The sequence below is a fragment of the Homo sapiens genome, chromosome 2 (genome assembly GCF_000001405.40).
Source record: "Homo sapiens chromosome 2, GRCh38.p14 Primary Assembly".
Taxonomy (NCBI): Eukaryota; Metazoa; Chordata; class Mammalia; order Primates; family Hominidae; genus Homo; species Homo sapiens.
Window position 1 is genome coordinate 130,128,598 of NC_000002.12, and position 19,230 is coordinate 130,147,827.

Sequence of the window (19,230 nt, forward strand, 5' to 3'; positions counted from 1 at the left end):
ACAACCTGACCCAGCCACAGGTGTTGCTGCACAAGACAATGCCTCAAAATCGCCGCCCCCACCCCACCACAGGTAGCGCAGCTCCTGATAGCGCACCCTGAGTAAGGGCAGTGCAGCACCCGACAACACTCCTAAACCACCCCCCGCTGCCAGCATTGTAGCTCCAAATAACCACCAAAACCACTCCCTGCCCCGGGCAGTGCAGCAGAAAATAGTGCCCCTAACCCCTCCCCCGCCACCGGCAGTACACGTTAGTGCACACAACCTGCCTCCCCCCCATCACCCCCGCCACCACGGGCAGTGTAGCCCCGGACAGCCAGCCAAAACCGCCCCCCTCCACCGCCAGCAATGCAACCTCGGAGAGTGCCCCCAACCAGCCCCCTGACACAGGCAGTGCAGCCTCGGGTAGTGAGCCCCAATAGGACACCCAACCCCTGCCCCCACAGGCGGGCAGTACATCCCCGGATAACTCACCTACACCAGGACATTTCTACCACTCTGGCCGAGCTGCAGTGTCCCACGTCACCACCAAACACAGCAAGGCGAGCCCCAGGGGCTCAGGCTCCAGCCTCCAGCATGCCGCTCCCTTCTACTCGTCTTCCTGCCTGGCAGGAGAAGCTCCCGCTACTGGTTGCCCTCCTACCACTGTCGACACCACCAACTGCAGTGAGCCAGTGTCCGAGGCTCCAGCCAGAAACAGGTAGCAGCCATGCCGGATACCAAACGCCCACACTTAAGAGCCTGAAATGACCTGACGCCACCTCCGCATGCTTTACCTACTGAGGTTACGCACATGTGGTTCCCAGACTACATGTTCTGATTGGATGAGAGAAAAACCTCTAGGCCTACTCTGATTGGACTTTATTTTCATGCTGTGATTGGTTGTCTTAAGACTGGCTCTCATCCAATCAGAACATGATAATAAAGTCCAATCCAAGTAACCCTGGAGGGTTTTTCTCATCCAATCAGAACATGCAGTCAGGAATCCTCCTGTATATAATCTCGGTATATGACTGCTGCTGAAGGGAAGTCAGGCTCTTCCACGTTCCCGTATTTTCCTGTGGAGCTGCTCAGTGCCCGGCTTAGAGGACCAGGAATGGGTAATCACCAGCCGTACGCTGGAGGCTGGAGCCGCTACACCGTGGCTCGCCTCGCTGCGACTGGTGGTAACCGCGACCGAGACGGCAGTGCGGCGGAAGCGGTAAGAGGAGGAAAAGAGTTTTGGGATAGATGGAGGGGGTAAAGAGGGTGGTTAGTGCCAAAGGGAAAAGAGGATAGTGAGCAGGAGAGCGCGTTGCAAAAAGGCGGTGGGGAAAAGATAGTGGGAAAAAAAGTTTTTGGGTAGATGGAGGGAGAAAAACGGGGTGGGGAGCGGGAGGGAGGGAAGGTTTTGCAGAAAGATGGTGGGTAAAATGTTTATGGGTAGATGGAGGAGGAAAAGAGGGTGGCAAGGGAGGAGGAAAGAGAGGGTGGTGGGGGGGAGAAACAGCGTTGAGCAGTAGGGAGAGAAGGTTTTGTGAAAAGACAGTGGGGAGAAAAGGTTTTGGGTAGATAGAGGGGGAAAAGAGGGTAACAGGTGGGGGAAGGGAAAAGGGTAGCCAGCGGGAGGAAGACAAGGTTTTGCAAAAAGATAGTGGGCAGGAAAGAAAGACGGTGGAGAAAGAAAAGACAGTGGGTAAAAAGTGTTTGGGTAGATGGTGGGGGGAAAGAGGGTAACGAGGAGGAGGAAAGAGGGTGACGAGAGGGAGCAGGGAAAGAGAGTTGGGAAAAAAATGGGAAAATAGTTTGGGGTAGATGGAAGGCAAAAAAGAGAGTGGCAAGCAGGATAGGGCAAAGAAGAGGACGAGTGGGAAGGGGGGAAGACTGTGAAAAGACAGTAGGGAATATTCTGGGGGGTGGATGGAGGGGGAAAAGGGGAGGTGAGCAGGAGTGGGGAGAAGGCTTTGCGAAAAGACTATGGTGAAATGTTTTTGGGTAGAGAAGGGAAAGAGGGTGGCAAGGAGGAGCGGGGGAAAAGACGATGAGGAAAACAGTTTTCGGGTAGATGAAGGGCGAAAAAGTGGTGAGCAGCAGGAGTGAGGAGAAGGGTTTGGGAAAAGACGGGAGAAAATGTTTTTGCTTAGATGAAGGAGCAAAAGAGGGTGATGAGAGTGGGATGGGGGAAAAGAAGGTGGCCAGGGAGAAAGGGAAAAGACGGTGGGAAAAACAGTGGGGAAAGTGGGTAAGTGGATGGGGAAAAGGGTGGTGAGTGAGAGAGCAGAGAAGGCTTTGCGAAATGACGGTGGGGAAAAATGGTGGGGAAAAAGTTTTGGGGTAGATGGAGGAAGAAAACAGGTGGCGAGGGGGAGGAGGCCAAAGGCGGTCGGGAAAAGAAGGTGGGAAAATAATGGTGGGAGACAAAGATTTGGGGTAGATTTTTTTTTAATCAGATTATTTGTATTTTTGCTTTTGAGTAGTTATTTATATATTTTGTGTATTAGCCCCTTGGCTGATGCATAGTTTGCAAATACTTTCTTCCATTCTCTGGGTTGTTTCTTCGTTCTACTGATTTCTTCCTGTGCTTTGCAGAAGCTTTTAAGTTTTATGTAATTACATCTTTGCTTTTGTTGCTTGTGCTTTTGACAAGTTTAATGTAATTACATCTTTGCTTTTGTTGCTTGTGCTTTTGATGTCTATTTGAAAATTCCTTGTCCTAACCAGTTTCATGAAGGATTTATCCTATGTTTTCTTCTCTAGTAGTTTTATAGTTTCAGGTCCTACATTTAAATCTTTATTTTGAGTAGATTTTTGTATATGGTAAGATAACGGCCTAGATGTATTCCTGTACATGTGGGTGTTGAGTTATCCTAGCAGTTTATTGAAGAGATTGTCCTTCCCGAATGTGTGTTCTTGGTGCCTTTGTTAAAAATGAGTACGCCATAAATGGGTGAATTTATTTCTGATTTCTCTATTCTGTTTCACTTGTCTATGTCTGTCATTCCTTCGTTTCTGTTTCTCCCCCGCCCCTTTTTTTGATAGTATTATGCTGTTTTGGTATTACCATGCTTACTACAGATTTGTAGTATGTTTTGAAGTCAGGTGTGATGCCTCCAGCTTTTCTTTTTATTCCAGATTCTTTTGTCTATCTGAGGTATTTTGCGTTTCCATGTGAATTTTAGGATTTTTTTTTTCTATTTCTATGAAGAATGTCTTTTGTAATTTAACATGGATTGCATTGACTCTCTAGATCACATTGGGTGATATAGACATTTTAACAATATTCTTCTAGTGCATGGACATGGGATATCTTTCCATTTACTTGTGTCTGCTTTAATAGCTTTCATCTGTGTTTTAGAGTTTCCATTGTGGGATCTTTTGTCTTTTTGGTTAAGTTTATCCCTAGATATAATTTTTTTGGTAATGAAATAGCTTTCTTGATTTCTTTCTTAGGTATTTCACTATTGGTGCATGGGCGTGCTACTGATTTTTATATGTTGATATTGTATCTTGCAACTTGACTAAATTATTTCTAGTAGGTGATTTTGTGGAATCTTTAGGGTTCTCTCTTTCTCTGTGTATATATATGATCATGTCACCTGCAAACAAACAGTTTGACTTCCTTTTTTCCAATTTGGATGCCTTTTATTGCATTCTCTTGTCTAATTGCCCCACTTAGGACTTCCAGTACTATGATGAATAAAAGTGGCGTAAAAGTAGCCACACTTGTTCCAGGCCTTAGAGGAAGAGTTTAAACATTTCCCCATTGATTATGATGTTAGCTGTGGGTTTGTCATATATGGCCTTTATTGCGCTGAGATATGTTCCTTCTGTACTCATGTTGTCCAGTTTTTGTCATGAAGGAATGTTGATTTTTATTTTTTTCAGCATCTACTGAAATGATTATATGGTTTTTGTTCTTGATTCGCTGAATGTGATGTCGCACATTTATTTGTGTTTTATTGAATCATCCTCATATTCCTGGGATGAATCCCACTTGATCATGGCAGATCATCTTTTTATTGTGTTGTCAAGTGCAATTTTCAAGTATTTTGCTGAAAATTTTTTTGCATCTGTGTTCATCAGGGATATTTAAAATGCCTGTGGTTTTCTTTTTGTGTTGTTTCCTGGTCTGGTTTTTGTACCATGTACCAGGGTCATGCTGTCCTCATAGAACAAGTTTCGAAGACTTCCTTTCTCTTCATTTTTTGGGGAATATTTTGAGTAAAATTCGTATTAACTCTTTAAAAAACGTTTGGTAGAATTCAGCAATAAAGCCATGATTCTTGTGTTTTTGTTTGATGGAAGACTTTTTATTACTGCTTTAATTACATTACTCATTATGGATCTTGTTCCGGTTTTTTGTTTATCATTCTATCTTGGGAATTTGTTATGTGTCCAGAAATTTATCACTTCTCCTAGATTTTCCAACTTGTTTTTATATAGGTGTTTTTAGTAATCTCTTACAATCCTTCATATTTCTGTGTTATCCATTGTAATGTCTCCTTTTTCATCTATCATTTTGTTTTGTTTTTCTTTTCCTTAGTCTAGTTAAAGCTTGTCAGTTTTGATTTTTTTCTAAAAAATCCAGCTCTTTGTTCCATTGACTTTTTGTATTTTTTGTTTCTATTTTTAAAATTTCTTCTCTAATCTTTATGATATTTTTTGTGCTAATTTTAGTATTTTATTTTTCTCGTTTTTCTCATTACTTCAGGTGTACTGTCAGGTTGGCTATTTGAGATCTTTCTATTTTCTCTGATGTAGGCATTTATAGCTATGCCCTTTTCCTCTTACAACTGCTTTTGCTGCATCCCACAGGATTTGTTATGTTGTGTTTCTTTTTTCAATAAATTTTTAATTTTCTTTTTATTTTTTCATTTATTTATTGGTTGTTCATGAGCATGTATTTTAATTTCCATGTATTTGTACAGTTTTTCCTCCTGTTATTGATTTCTAGTACTATTCCACTGTGGTCAGAAAAGATACTCGATATGATTTCAGTTTTGTTTTGTTTTGTTTTTTTTGAGACGGAGTCTCGCTCTGTCGCCTAGGCTGGAGTGCAGTGGCGCGATCTTGGCTCACGCAAGCTCCACCTCCCGGGTTCACGGCATTCTACTGCCTCAGCCTCCCCAGCAGCTAGGACTACAGGCGCACGCCGCCACGCCCAGCTAATTTTTGTATTTTTAGTAGAGATGGGGTTTCACTGTGTTAGCCAGGATGGTCTCTGTCTCCTGACCTTGTGATCCGCCCCCCTCGGCCTCCCAAAGTCCTGGGATTACAGGCATGAGCCACCGTGCCCGGCCATGATTTCAGTTTTTAAAAATGTGTTGTGACTTGTTTTTTGGCCTAATGCATAGTCTTTTGTGGATAATAATCCATATTCTATTCAGTGGAATGTGCATTATGCAGTTGCGGAGTGGAAAGCTGTGCAAATGTTAGGTCTATTCGGTATAGAGTACAGTTTAACTGATGATGTTTTGTTGTCTGGATGATCTGTCCATTGACGATAGTGGGGTGTTGATTATAGCGAAGCATTGAGGCATTCTGTTATTGTATTGCAGTCTATCCTTTAAGGTCTGTTAATATTTGCTTCTGTGTTTAGTTGCTTGAGTGCTGGTTGCATATACACTTATAATTGTTATGCTGCTGTTTACTTTTTCTCATTATATAATTATCTTCATTTTTTTCTTTTTTTGACTGAAAGTCTATATAATCTAAGTAGAGCTACTCCTGCTTTTTTTGTTTCCACAGGTGTGCGATATTATTTATCATGTCTTCACTTTCAGTCTATGTATGTCTATAGGTGAACTGAGTTTCTTGTAGGCAGTATATAATTGGGTCTTGTCTTTTAATTCATTCAGCCACTCTGTCTTAATTGGAGAATTTAATTCATTTATATTCAAGGTTATTATTAACAGGTAAAAACATACTACTGCCATTTTTTACTTGTTTTCTGGTTGTTTTGCTATTCTCTCTTTTTTCTTTTGTTCTTTCTCTCTTCCTTCCTCTTTCTCTTCTCTCTGATCTCTCTCTTTCTTTCTTTTCTTTCCTCCTTCCCTTCCTTCCTGTCTTTATTTGTAGTGAGATAATTTTTTCTGGTAGTGTGTTTCAATTGCTTGCTTTTCATTTTTAGGGTGTCTATTATTGATTTTTGTTTTCTGGTTACCATGAGGCTAAACAACATAATTATATCAAGTTATTTTAAACTGAAGAAAACTTAACTTTGATTTGTCCCAGCTACTCCGGAGACTCAGGTGGGAGGATTGCTTGACCCTGGGAGGCTGAGGTTACAGTGAGTTGAGATCGCGCCACTGCGAATATAAATAAATAAATAAACAAACAATAGCTTATAATGAATTCTGATTGTAAATTTTGAGATGATGATTGATAAGGTATAAAGAAGAAAGTGAAAATCATTCATAATCTCATTACTCAACTACTCCTAATGTTTTGGTACATATGCTTCCTAATTCATAACTCACTCTCTCTCTCTCTCTCTCTCTCTCTCTCTCTGTCTCTCTCTGTCTCTCTCTCTCACACACACACTCACACACACGTACACATAAAATAGATACATTTTATACACAGATACAATTTTATTGTAACATTTTAAGAAAAACAGCTTTGTAATTTTTTATTTAAAAATATTGGCCTGGCGCGGTGGCTCATGCCTGTAATCATAGCATTATGGGAGGCTGAGGCGGGCAGATCATGAGGTCAGGAGATCGAGACCATCCTGGCTAACATGGTGAAACCCCGTCTCTACTAAAAATACAAAAAAGAAATGAGCCGGGCGTGGTGGCGGGCGCCTGTAGTCCCAGCTACTTGGGAGGCTGAGGTAGGAGAATGGCGTGAACCCGGGAGGTGGAGCTTGCAGTGAGCTGAGATGGCACCACTGGACTCCAGCCTGGGCGACAGAGTGAGACTCCATCTCAAAAAAAAAAAAGAAAACTCAAGAATGACATGGCAGTGGTGAGTGGGATCCTGGGCATCCCTGGGGGAATTGGGGCTCCCCCAAGAGCTCCTGGGAGCACCACTGGGAGGGGCCTTCAAGGTTAGGGTGGCTGGGTAGGGGCTGGGCCTGACCTGAGACCCTGCCCACCAGGCCTCTTCCAGGCCAGGTTTGCTGTGCTGGGTGGGAACATGGGAGAAGTCACTCTCTGTCTGTGGCCCCCATCGGTGCCTCTGCCACCTGGCCCAGAGGGGGCAGGGACTCTGGGGAGGACAAAGCTGTGGGGGTAGGGAATATACCCAGGATCAGCCAACATTGTCTGCACAAGGGTGGAGGCTGAGAGAGAGGCCTCGGGAATCTGGCTGTGAGTGAGGACGGGCCTGGGGTGGGAAAGCCCCCTACATGGGGAACCCTTGGGTTCCGGGCTGCTGACCATGCCCATCCTGCTCCAGCCCACTGCCCCACTGCCCCCGGTGCCACTGACCAAACAGCAGTACCTATGCCAGCTGCTCCTGGATGCCATCCTGGCCAACATCCGCTCACCCTCTTCAACCATTCCCTGTACCGCATATTCATGCCAACCATGATTGCCATCCACAGCCCACCCATCACATACATCCAGCTGGGCTGGGCTTCGCAGAGGGTGGCTGCCTGGCCCTGGGCCATGTGTGCCCAGTGTGGTCACCATGGTGCCTCCCCAAGGCCCCAGTGGTATGCACCCAGAAGCACAGGCTTGAGGACGATGAGCAGCAGAGCATCCCCAGTGTGCTCCAGGGCCTGGTGGCCAGGTTGGAGCCCAAGTGCATGATAAACCTGGACCCTTCTCACTGCAGCAACAACGGCACCGTCCGCCTGATCTGCAAGCTGGGCGAGTGTCCAGGAGGGCCAGGCTGGCGCAAGAGAGCAACCCCCAACTGCAGCCCCAGGCCTCTGCTGTCCAAGCTGGAGGGCACAGTGCCCAGACCCCATCCTATGTTCACGTGCCAGCAGGTTGTCTGCTCTGTCTTCTGGGCCCAGGACAGACTGGCCATTGCCTCTGCCCCCACCCCCGGAGCCCACGCACCCTCACCTCCCCAACACAGATGCGGCTCTGCTTGCCTGGGGCCCTAGGGAGGTGGCACGCAGGACCTCTGGGCACCCATTGATGCAGGTCACTCTGGCTTCAGGTTTGGAAATCCGAGAGTGAGAGAGACATCCAGGCTTTGCCGCAAGCCTCACCAGAACCTCCCTGGGTGTGAAGAGTCCTGTTCGGGAGCAGGGCTGTGAGGCGGGGCAGGCCAGGGCTTGTCTGGGTCACAGGTACAGCCTTGTGTGTTGCAAACGACAAGGACCTCCCAAGTGTGCCACCATGTGCCCACCCACTACCCTACCCAGAGTCCACTGTGGATGGACCGGCAGTGGCTATACAGTGGGCAGACCCAGAGGGAGCTGTCTGGGGGCCCAGGGCAGGCAGGGGTCATTCTGGAACACCAGGCTTCCAGTGCTGCAGGGACAGCCTCTGTGCACTCCAGCCCCTCCCAGCTCAGGCCCCTCCCTCCCCTCTTCTGACTCCCCCTGCACGGGCAGGCGCAGGTTTTCCAGTGGTCACCTGAGAGAGAGGGGTCTCTGCTCTTCTTCTGTGTCCCTTTGCCCCTTCATCTTGTGTCAGGTCAGTTGTCCAGGGTGGCTGTGTTCAGTGGCTGAGGGGTGAGAAAGCCTACGGCTCAAGGACAGACCCTGCTTTTCCCAGAGGCCACCAGGGAGCTCAGCGGGGCTGACAGGTCCTACCAGTAGCTTGGGCACACAAGGCCCCATCTGGGCGATGTGGCTCCAGAGGGTCATGTTGACAGGAGTCAGTGTCCCTGAGCCCAGAGCTGGCACACAGCAGATCCAGGGCTGGGTCCCCAAGGTTGTCAGAGGCAAAGCCCTGGGCTCCAAACCCCATTCAGATTCAGTTCTTCACTGACAATGAGGCTCTGGGAGGAGAGCCCGATGGCCAGGCAGGCAGCGTGCAGGGCTCCTCCTGGTGCTTCAGCCAGTCCTGGGGCTGCCACTTCCCAGAGCACTGCCGGGTGTGCAGGCCGTGGGTGCAGCACCAGCTGCCTCAGGCTCATGCCCATTGTTCTGTTGCAGGCACCAACCCCTTCCTCAGGTCGGTGCACCACTGCGTGACCTCCAGGCAGCCACAGCCTGGAAAAGCACTCGGTTACCACCTTGCTCAACACCTGTGCCCGGAACATCCACAAGGCCTGCCTCGGCTGCTTAGCCAGGACTGCAGGGATGGCCCGCAGCCTCATCGGGGCCAAGGACGCATGCCTCCTGTCAGACACTTCTAGGTGTTGGCGTCCATGGAGAGCCTGGAGTTAGGTTAGCTTTCCTCCTTTTCTCTCCTGCCTTGGGGATCTGCCAAATGAAATCCCGCACTTGTACAGACTGAGATGGGCGTGGTGGAGCGGGCTGCTCGCCGTGGCCTGTCCAGGGTCCAGGTCCATCTCAGCGGCATGAGGGTGCGCTCAGGGTGTTGTTAGAGCATCTTGTGTGTGCTCAACACACCCCTGCTCCTTTCTATAGGAGAACACAGAGGACATAGGAAACCCTTCAAACACACATCGGATTCTCTGCTCACAGTTTTGGGTTCAGGCTGTGCTGCTTTGGGCAGGTGGGGCACCCCCCAGAGAAGCCCCTAAGTCCAGGGCACAGGCTGCCTATCGGAGGGAGGGCTGGCCCATGGCTGCTGCCAGCTCCCCACCACCAGCTGGGCCTCAGCCCTCACGGCATTCCTGCTGAGCACTGTGGGGCCCCCAGGGAGCAGGGGCACGGGGGATCCTGCTGCCGGCACCCCTGTGTCACTCGTGTGAGGGCCGTGTCCCCATTGTGAAGGATGAAGAGCCAGGCCCTCTGGACCCGCGTCCTCAGAACACTACGCACTGCCACCCAGAGAGTGCGGGCCTGGCGGTGGGTGGGGCCATGCAGTGAGTGCCTCCCTATGTTGCCCACTGCCCTGGGCACCGGCCAGCAGCCCTTTGGTGACAAGAGTCGCCCCTTTTAATGCATACCACCCCATCATCTGTGATTGTTATAATCTTGTTATTCCTGTGTTTGTCAGGACTCGTCACTGTGTCCCCCACTCCATGAAACTGGGCCTGCTGTCCTGTTAGGATGCTGTAAGCCCCCGGGCCTGGGCTGTCCTTTCTGACGCACTGTCCCATTCCTTGGCCTGGTTCATCCCCAGCTTCCTGGCAAAGTTCTGCTCCCTGAAGCAGGAAGAGGCTGAGATTAATGCCAACGAAGTGGGCCGTGGGCCTGGGAAGACTGTGTGGCTGGCTGAGGGTGGGCACTAAGCTGGCCACCCCACCCCCGACATGGACATGGCTGTGCTGTGGCGGAAGGGGTGGTGCGGGCATGGCCACGGCACTCGAGACAGCCCTCCGAGGAGGAGGGCGAGCCTGGCTGGACCCCCTGTCTGCGGTGCTGTGTCAGGGCAGCAGAGGACAGCCTCTTGCCCCCAGGAGTGTGCAGTGTGGGCAAGAGACAGAGTGATCATGTGTTTGGAACGCAGCTCCAGCCCAGCCAGGGGACCAGAAAAGCCCTCCCGCTTCCAGGGAGGATGTGCATGGCTCTGCCAATGCCTGTCTCCCAGGGCCGCTGGCAGGTCCCAGGATGCGCAAGACTGGGCTGCCCAGGCAGGTCCCTGCAGACAGCGGGGCCTGGGCTAGAGGCCAAGGGCTGGGACTGGGAAGGGACGCGACGCCTGATAGCCAGTGAGGAGCCAGGCACACAACTTGGAAATAAACAAGCTTTATTTTCAGTTTCAACAGGTAAGGCGATACCTGCTTCATCGTGTGCTTTTATGTAAATGCCAAATAGCAAAATAACAGCTAGAAAATAAACAGTTTGTCAGTTTGGAGATCAAGTACTTTATCTATCTTGAGTGTTATCTATCTTGGAATTTAGCCAGGCCTAAAAGTAGCGGAAGTGTCAGGAAATGCTATAGAGAGCCAATCTCCAGCTGCAGGTTGGTGGGCCTGGCACTGACCAGATGCGGGTAGCTCAAAGCACCGAGCGATGCAGGCGCCGTTTCTGCATTGCCTGCAGCCTCTTCTGCCTCTCGGCAAAGTTGTTCTTCGGGGTCTGCTTCAGTGCGGGCAGGATGGCACGCTCCGCCACAGGTGGGCTCAGAAGCAGGCTGGGGGCGGGTAGAGGGACTGTCACCGTGAGCATCCTCGCGAGTGGAGTGTGTGGGGAGTGCGGCCTGCATGGCCCTCACGGGGGCACAGAGAGGCCTCAGCGAGCTCCGCTTCTGCGCTGCCACGCTCCCTTCCCCACTCCCTCCCTGGGGCCCAGGCTGCAGGGCTGCCCCACTGTCCCCATGCCTGTGGGACTTACCATTTCTTGGAGAGGCTCTTGGTGGAGACCTTGGGGAAATGCGTGGCTTCTTGGTCCCTGGGTGAAGGAAGAGTCAGCAGTGAGCTGTGGATAGGCCCCCAGGGATGGGGCAGGGGTGCACCAGGCACTCACCTGGGAAAGCTAGCTTCCTCCGGGACTGCCTGGGGCCTCTGGCTCCCTTCCAGGAGGGACTTGAGGTGCTGCAGCTGAAAGGCAGGGGCAGGGGCGTGGTGGGGCCTGTGGCGGTGCCAGACTGCCCAGGGCCACCCCCACCACCCAGGGCCTCACCTCTTGGGTCTGCAGGAGGTTGGTATTCCACAGCTCGCGGATGAGCACTTCGCACTGCCTAAGTGTGGTGGGCTTTCGCAGGGGAAGGGGCAGGATCATTGGGGGGTGTGCCGCCGCCCCCATCTGCCTGCCCTGGTGCTGGCTGTTCCCCATACAGGCAGCTCCTGCGTTAGAGGCCTCTGCTTTCTCCTTTCTGAAACAGTCATTGCAGCAGCCAGAGGTGACCTGCCCAGGTGCGTCTAACCACCCACCCAGCATACCTCCCCAGGCAGCGCCCAGGCCAATGTGGGGAAGAGGGCCTGGTTCCCCTCTCCCACTGAGCAGGGTGCTCTGGGCACCAGGTGGGGGTCTCTGGGACTGGGGCCTGTCCCTTTCTCCCCTCTGAAGGTGCCCTAAGGGTCAGATGGGCTTCAGTGGGTGACCAGCTAGCTGCCAGGCTGCTCTTGATCGTGACCCCACACCCAGTGGGGCATCTTGCTCCAGGCCTGGTCTCGGGATGTGCAGATGCAGGAGCCTGTCCTGCTGGTTGCGCTGCTGAAAGTGTGCGCTCTGTAGCATCTCAGGGCAGTCCCGCAAACTCAGGGATCACCAGAACCTGTTCCTACTCTGACCTGCTGGCCTAGTGCCCTCCAAAGGCAGGCTGTGGCCAGGGGCAGCAAGCCTTCTCTTGGTCAGAATATTACTTTACTTTTCTCTGAGGAAGTGGTTTAGGGGCCGCTACTGGCCCCCCTCGTGGGCTCAGGTCAGCACAGGTACTCTGCAGGACCCCCAGGGGAAGGGAGGAAGACAGCGCCCACCGATGGGTAGAGCGTGGCCGTCATCTGCTATCATGAGCCCTGGAGACAGGCCCCTGGAGCTAGGGGCAGAGCAGTTGGCTGACTGCAGGGCGTGAGCCTAGTAAATGTAGTCATGGGGCCCTTAGGGTGCAGGCAAGACTTACCTGGCCTGCCCTTGCACCCCAGGAACACCCAAGCCTTACCTGGCCTGCCCTTGTACCCCAGGAACCTTGTCCAGCTTGCTGTTGTGAAGTAGGGGCTCCTCTTCCAGGTCCGCCTTCTGGGGGACGTCAGCTTTTGAATCTTGCTTGTTGAAGGAGCCGGGCTGGGGCCTGGCCTTGCCTTGAGAGTTGGCTGCAAGTCAGACCCTACAAGGCCGGTCACTGCAGGCACCAACAGTCACCGCCCAAGTTTTCCAGGAACAGCTGTGTGTACCCAAGAAGCCCCTGTCCCTGCCTCAGTTTCCTCCTCTGTAAAGGGAAGCCTGCCTTGGAGGGTTCTGGGGGGAATCAATGTGGTTCTGAGGGTGAAGCCCATGGGTGGTGCCTGTGAACACTCTAGAACAATCAACATAGTGGAAGCTGGCCCCATCTTGGGTAAAATGAAACTGCATGAGAGGCTTGGGACCCAGCCTGCATGGGTTTCCTCGGCAAGGACAAGGCCCGTCCAGCACCTGGGCCCATCACAGGAATGGTGAGGGTTAGGGCTGGGCTGAGGAAAATGCCCGGCCTCACAGAGTGGGGAAAAGAGGCTCTCTGCTCCCAGTTCACTCTGCAGAAGGTGCCATGAGCCCAGGGCTCCGTGGGCAGTGCCATCCCTCCTGTGTCCTGCCTGCTTGTGGCGGGGACACGGCCAAGCAGGGCTGCTGCTGGGCAGCCAGGGTACGTCCTCCCTAGGCGGCCACCCGGGGAGGCCCCTCCTGCCTGCTTGCTGCCCCACCCTGGGGTGCCTGCTGTGAGGCCTTACTGCCCTGTGACTGGTCCCTGGTCCTGCCCACCCCCCCTTAATCCCCTCCCGGTGGCTTCAGCTTGCAGGGCTCTTTTCAGCTGCACCTTCATCCCCAAATCCTGGAGCTTGGCCCAGCAGAGGGTACCTGGTCAGCACCCCTAGAGGCCACCCAGGCTGGGGTCCCCGTGGGGCACTCACCCCTGTGAGCACATGGACGCCAGCCTGCTCACCTGAATTAGAGATGGACTTGACAGACTGGAAGCTTGACGTGGAGAGGCTGTCTGCAGGAGAGCGCACAGTGTCGGCGCTACCGCCCGCAAGACGCCCATGCTTGCCTCCTGGCCTGTGTGTCCGTGAGGAGCCCTCCTTCAGCCTGGCAGGGCTGGGTCCTCCCGGCTCTACCCACACTCCGTTGATGCAGACCCAGCGAGCGCCCAAGGGAGCAGAGGCCCTGGAAAGGTGGTTTCCTGAGGGGCCATCTGGAAAGCAGGAGGGCTTGGGACACATGGAACAGCAGGTCCCGAGGGAGAGCATGGCCTCTTCCCGTGTCCTGTCAGCGTCCCCAGCACTGCAGGGCTGGGGCTGCCGACTTGGGCCACACTTTGCCCAGAACAGCTCACTGGAGTTGCCACAGCGGCTAGGGAAGGGCCCTCCCTCAACCCCATTCTCCATGTCTCTCTGGGAAGGGAGAGCCCTAGGCACTGCCCCAGCTACGATGTTCCCAGGCTGGCTCCATCCACCAGTCAGATGTCCTCCTGATGTCAGCCCCAGCCCCAAAGATAACGGGAAGTGAGCTCGAGACCACAACCCAGAATCCTGGGCTGGGTGGGGGCCGCTGTCAGGATGGGGAAGTGCCTTGGACAAGTGGCAAGGAAACAGGACTCTGCTTCCTCCCTTTGTCCCCATGGTTGCTGCCCAGATGGCAGGAAGGGATCCCTGGATGGAGTGTGTCCAGAGCCCCTGGGCCCCCAGCATGTCAGGACTCAGAGCCATAGGGCTGGAGATCCTGGGCCTGGCCACAGCAGCAATCTGAGGCAAAGATCTAGCAGGGCAGGGGCTGTCCCAGGGGTTCCTTCCCATTTCAGCTCTACTTGGAGGAGGGAGGTCTGGGGAGCACCCTGTGCCCACCTCCCCACTGCAATGACCTCAGGCCCTGGGCTTCCTGAGAGCAGCACGTGCTGTGCTTGGCTGCGTAACATCATCCAGCCACGGCTAGAGGTAGCGGCATCTGTCCAGGTCCCCCAGAACCTGTCCCCACTGGGTTGGCATACAGGGGCCAGTGCAGCCAGGTGGGCAAGGACAGTCTGGAGGGGCTCCCCTGGGTGGCAAGAGCATCCCATCAGGAACTGAAGGGCCCAGTTCTCACCTTTCTTCTGTGATGTCTGATTCATTATGAGCTTGTAACGGAGATCTGAAAGCAAGCACACGCTCTCCTCAGCACTTGTGAAACCACAGCCATTCTGAGAGAAGAAGCCTGGCCTGTCCTCTCCTGGCTGCTGAGCCCGAAAGTCCTGCCCCCCCACTGGCTGATTGGGCCCTGCCCCATGGATCCCGCTCTCCACCATGCCTTTGTCGTGGGTGTCAGGCCAGGAGTGGCCCCTGCCTGTTCCCTAGGCAGAGCCCACCTGGCATATCAGCCTCATCCATCTGAGATGACTGGAGGGCGTCCACACTGCCAGGCAGAACCTGGGCTTTAGGGGTACAGAGGTGAACTCTGGAATCCCTGGCTATGGCGGTGTCATGATCCCGTGGGCATCAGGGACTGGGGGGAGGCTCAAGAAGATATGAGGAACGGGGCGTCCTGAGGCTCAAGAAGACATGGGGAAGCGGGGTCCTGACAAAACAGACGCCTGGTGATGGGATACTCGGCACTCAGGTAAGGCAGCAGCAGGGAACGGGGCGGGAGAGGAGGCCGCGGGCACTGGTGCCCTTGCTGGAGCCCTCCTGAAGCAAGAGCGAGGAGCGGAGCCACATCCCACATCCTGGCGGGCCCTCCTCCTGCTCGGGGCAGGAGGGGTGGGGGAGGAGGGAGGGAGAAAGGGGGGCGTGGGGGTGAGGAGCAGCTAAGGGTGCAGTTGGGAAGGCCCCGCCGGAGGACAGCATGGGCACAGGCGAAGCGGGGACGGGGTGGGGGGCGGGGGAATGCCTGCTCCTGATCCGATGTGTTTAGCTGGAAGAAATTCACTGAGCTGCGCACTCGCACTTGGGCACGTTTCCCTGCATAAAGTTTTTGTTTGTTTGTTTTTGTTTTTTTTGAGACGGAGTCTCGCTCTGTCACCGAGGCTGGAGTGCAGTGGCAAGATCTCGGCTCACTGCAAGCTCCGCCTCCCGGGTTCACGCCATTCTCCTGCCTCAGCCTCCCGAGTAGCTGGGACTACAGACGCCCACCACCACACCCAGCTAACTTTTTGTATTTTTAGTAGAGACGGGGTTTCACCGTGTTAGCCAGGATGGTCTCGATCTCCTGACCTCGCGATCCGCCCGTCTCGGTCTCCCAAAGTGCTGGAATTACAGGCGTGAGCCGCCGCGCCCGGGCCCCTCTATAAAGTTTTTAACAGAGGTGTGTCTGACCCTGCTTGGAGAGGAGAGGACTGGCGGAGTCAGCATCTGAAATGCTGCTGCCCTAGGAGACAGGCAGACAGGTTCGGCACTGCCCGGGGGCCACGCGGGTCTCCCTCTGGGAGGAGGGGACAGCTCAGCGTGGCAGGGCGGGCTTACCGTCCTGTGTTCCCCCTGAGCCCAGGCGTGTGCTGGAGTTGATGGCTGTGTTTCTGTGCTGCGGGAGCGGCAGTGTTGAGTGTGCCTGGGGAGGCAGGGCCGGCCTAGGGCCCCGCGCCGGCTCACCCTTGTTTTCCCGCTTCAGATGCTCGATCTCCTCATGGAGCTTGGCCAGCATCTCCGAGTGCTGCTGCTGCAGGAACTGTAGGCTCTTCTCCAGGTCCAGGTTCCGTTTCTGCGGGTCGCTCTGCCTGAGCTGCGGGCTCTGCGGCCTCAAGGACTGGACGCCCACAGAGGGGCGCTGGCGCCGGCGCCGAGAGCCCGGGGTCGGCGAGCTGGGGGGCCGCGTCCCAGCCGCCACCCCCGCACCGCTCATATCGCCATCGCCAGGTACTCTCCCGCTGCCACTGCACCCCGGCTCAGTGGCCAGGCCGCCCTAGCCTGGCGCCCCGTCACCATGGAAACCGGGCGACGGAGGGCGCCAGGCGTTTGGCGGGGGCGGGGCCTGTCGCTGGCTCTTCCTGGGTGAGTAGTGATTTACAAGGCATCCAGGGCTGGGCGCCGGGGCTCACGCCTGTAATCCCCGAACTTTGGGAGGCCGAGGCGGACGGATCACTTGAGGTCAGGAGTTCCTGACCAGCCTGACCAACATGGCGAAACCCCGACTCTACTAAAAATACAAAATTTAGCCGGGCGTAGTGGCGGGAGCCAGTAATCCCAGCTACTCCGGAGGCTAAGGCAGGAGAATAGCTTGAACCGGGAGGCAGAGGTTGCAGTGAGCCGAGATCGCACCGCTGCACTCCAACCTGGGCGACAGAGACTCTATCTAAAATAATAATAATAATAATAATAATAATAATAATAATAATAAAAGGCATCCTTTCCAGCCTGGATGGAAAGTGAGCCCCTGTCTCTATAAAAATTAAAAGAAAAAAAACCCGGGCATGGTGGCTTGCGCCTGTAGTCCCAACTGCTCGGGAGGCTGAGGTGGGAGGATTGCTGGAACCCCGGAGGTCGAGGCTGCAGTGAGCTATGATGGCACCACTGAACTCCAGCCTAAGTGACAGAGTGAGATGCTGCCTAAAAATAAGAGGCCGGGCGCAGTGGTTCACACCTGTAATCCCAGCTACTCCGGAGGCTGAGGCAGGAGAATCACTTGAACCCAGGAGGTGGAGGTTGCAGTGAGCCAAGATCGCGCCATTGCACTCCAGCCTGGGCGACAGGGTGGGATTCTGTCTCAAAAAAAAAAAAAATAATAAATAAATAAATAAATTTAAAAATAATAAAAATAAAAAGTCTTTTTTTTTTTTACAAGGCCTGCCCTCAAAAAAAAAAAAAATCACAGCCAGGCCAATCATAATTTTGCCAGACACCAACAAACCTGGAGGAAGGGAACATAGCTAACCCCAGCCTGCTCTGGCTCTCCTTCCCCACATCTTACTGCCACATCAGCGGGGCTCCTGTATAATAACAGGGGATACAAGTGAAAGAACTGCTCATCTCAGAGCTTATTCGAGAAATCTCTAGGAAACCGTAAAGACAACAGGGAGACAAAAACTAAGACACTAGAGGAGGTTTAAGCCTCTGACACCTCCAGTTAACAAACAGCACACATGGCACAACCCCTAACCAGACCAACATAAAACTTCACACAGAAAGTCCATTTACTGGTTGAGCATGACCAGCCCTCAACAAAAACTTGCAAGGCATAATAAAAAACAACACAGTTCGAAGACACAGCAAGCATCAGAGCCACACTTAAATATGGCAGAGATGTTGGAATTATCAGACCAAGAAATGGAATACGACTATGATTAATATGCTAAGGGCTCTAATGGAAAAAGTGGACAACATGAGATTACAGACTGATAATGGGAACAGAGAGGTAGACGTTCTAAGAAATAATCTAAAGAAAATGTGAAGGCCAGGCAGGGTGGCTCATGTCTGTAATCCCAGCACTTTGGGAGGCTGAGTTGGGCAGATCATTTGAGGTCAGGAGCTCAAGACCAGCCTGGCCAACATGGTGATACCCCATCTCTACTAAAAAATACAAAAATTAGCTAGTGTGGTGGCATGCACCTGTAATTCCAGCTACTTGGGAAGCTAAGGTGGGAGGATTGCTTGAATCCAGGAGGTGGAGGTTGCAGTGAGCCGAGATCATGCCACTGCCCTCAAGCCTGGGCAACAGAGTAAGACTCCATCTCAAAAAAAAAAAAAAGAAGAAGAAAAGAAAAGAAAATGTGAGAAGTTGGCCAGGCACAGTGGCTTACACCGCTAATCCCAACACTTTGGGAGGCCGAGGTGGGTGAATCACTTGAGGTCAGGAGTTCAAGACCAGCCTGGGCAACATGGTGAAAACCCATCTCTACTAAAAATACAAAAATTATTGGGAGGCCGAGGCGGGCGGATCATGAGGTCAGGAGATCGAGACCATCCTGGCTAACACGGTAAAACCCCATCTCTACTAAAATACAAAAAATTAGCCAGGCATGGTGGTGGGCGCCTGTGGTCCCAGCTACTCGGGAAGCTGAGGTAGAAGAATGGCGTGAACCCGGGAGGCGGAGCTTGCAGTGAGCCAAGATCATGCCACTGCACTCCAGCCTGGGCGACAGAACAAGACTCCATCTCAAAAAAAAAAAAAGAAAAAAGAAAGGCAGGCATGGTGGTGCATGTCTGTAATCCCAGCTACTCAGGAGGCCGAGGCCAAAGAATTGCTTGAACCCAGGAGGTGAAGTTTCCAGCAAGCTGAGATCCTGCCACTGCACTCCATCCCGAGCAACAGAGTGAGACTCCATCTCAAAAAACTAAAAGAAAATGTAAGAAGTCAAAAACACAACAGAAATGAAAACTCAGGTGCATGGCTGATGCCTGTAATCCCAGCACTTTGAGAGGCCAAAGCAGGAGCATCTCTTGAGCCCAAGAGTTAGAGACCAGCCTGGGCAATATAGCCAGACCCTGACTCCACAAAAAACTAAAAAGTTTGCCTGCATGGTGGTGCACACCTGCAGTCCCAGCTACTGAGAAGGCTGAGATGCAGCGAGCCGTGATTGCACCACTGCACTCCAGCTTGGGCAACACAGAGAGACCCTGTTTCAAAAAAAGAAGGAAAAAGATATAGGAAATTTGGATCTAAAAAAAGGGAAGTGCATTAGAGAAGGAATAAAGTAAAATAAAATATAATCTTTATTATTATTTTTAATAGATGAC

General features: G+C 52.7%; 2 protein-coding genes and 1 pseudogene across 20 annotated transcripts in view, besides 2 other annotated features; 1 reads left to right on the forward strand and 2 right to left on the reverse strand.

Moving 5' to 3' along the window:
* Window positions 1-625, reverse strand: part of POTEF (POTE ankyrin domain family member F) — a 55,688-nt gene extending 55,063 nt beyond the window's left edge. For both annotated transcript variants that reach the window (NM_001099771.2, XM_047445721.1), the window contains exon 1: window positions 475-625. The gene's annotated coding sequence lies outside the window, so the exon portion shown is untranslated. The remainder of the gene's footprint in view (window positions 1-474) is intronic.
* Window positions 537-1,111: an enhancer, noted in NCBI's record as "H3K27ac hESC enhancer chr2:130886707-130887281 (GRCh37/hg19 assembly coordinates)". NCBI's record gives its function as "activates a minimal SCP1, AML or CMV promoter by ChIP-STARR-seq in naive and primed H9 embryonic stem cells {active_cell/tissue: H9 hESC(naive and primed)}" and the evidence as "EXISTENCE:reporter gene assay evidence [ECO:0000049][PMID:30033119]".
* Window positions 1,026-10,816, forward strand: MED15P9 (mediator complex subunit 15 pseudogene 9; annotated as a pseudogene). Its single transcript, NR_033903.1, has 6 exons — window positions 1,026-1,201; window positions 6,548-6,948; window positions 8,095-8,227; window positions 9,041-9,274; window positions 9,479-9,566; window positions 10,014-10,816. The product of NR_033903.1 is annotated as a mediator complex subunit 15 pseudogene 9 (transcript).
* Window positions 10,690-16,515, reverse strand: CCDC74B (coiled-coil domain containing 74B). Of its 17 annotated transcripts, none has more exons than XM_047446281.1 (9): window positions 16,150-16,515; window positions 15,743-15,877; window positions 14,672-14,716; window positions 13,536-13,586; window positions 12,561-12,711; window positions 11,582-11,774; window positions 11,426-11,499; window positions 11,294-11,350; window positions 10,690-11,093 (listed from the first exon to the last, which is right to left on the reverse strand). In XM_047446281.1, the coding sequence occupies exons 3-9, from the start codon at window positions 14,694-14,696 to the stop codon at window positions 10,958-10,960; spliced, it is 687 nt and encodes a 228-aa protein (XP_047302237.1). In that variant the 5' UTR covers window positions 14,697-14,716; window positions 15,743-15,877; window positions 16,150-16,515; the 3' UTR covers window positions 10,690-10,957. The 17 variants fall into 17 exon arrangements, 16 of the variants coding, with proteins under 16 accessions (XP_047302237.1, XP_047302234.1, XP_047302235.1 ...); XM_047446278.1 differs by having other exon boundaries at window positions 13,536-13,784; XM_047446279.1 differs by having other exon boundaries at window positions 13,536-13,784; window positions 16,024-16,515.
* Window positions 14,551-14,630: an enhancer, noted in NCBI's record as "active region_16521". NCBI's record gives its function as "activates an Ori minimal core promoter by ATAC-STARR-seq in GM12878 lymphoblastoid cells {active_cell/tissue: GM12878}" and the evidence as "EXISTENCE:reporter gene assay evidence [ECO:0000049][PMID:35858748]".
* Window positions 16,516-19,230: the final 2,715 nt, after the last annotated feature.

Bases quoted from the DNA above. Each gene is read 5' to 3' on its own strand.
- CCDC74B (XM_011512142.3), bottom strand. From the start codon at position 14,385: ATGGGAAGGAACCCCTGGGACAGCCCCTGCCCTGCTAGATCTTTGCCT. The intron at 11,775-12,560 runs GTAAGGCTTGGG...TGACTGTTTCAG, and splicing joins GGGGTACAAGGGCAGGCCAG to AAAGGAGAAAGCAGAGGCCT. The intron at 11,094-11,293 runs GTAAGTCCCACA...ACCCGCCCCCAG, and splicing joins AAGAGCCTCTCCAAGAAATG to CCTGCTTCTGAGCCCACCTG.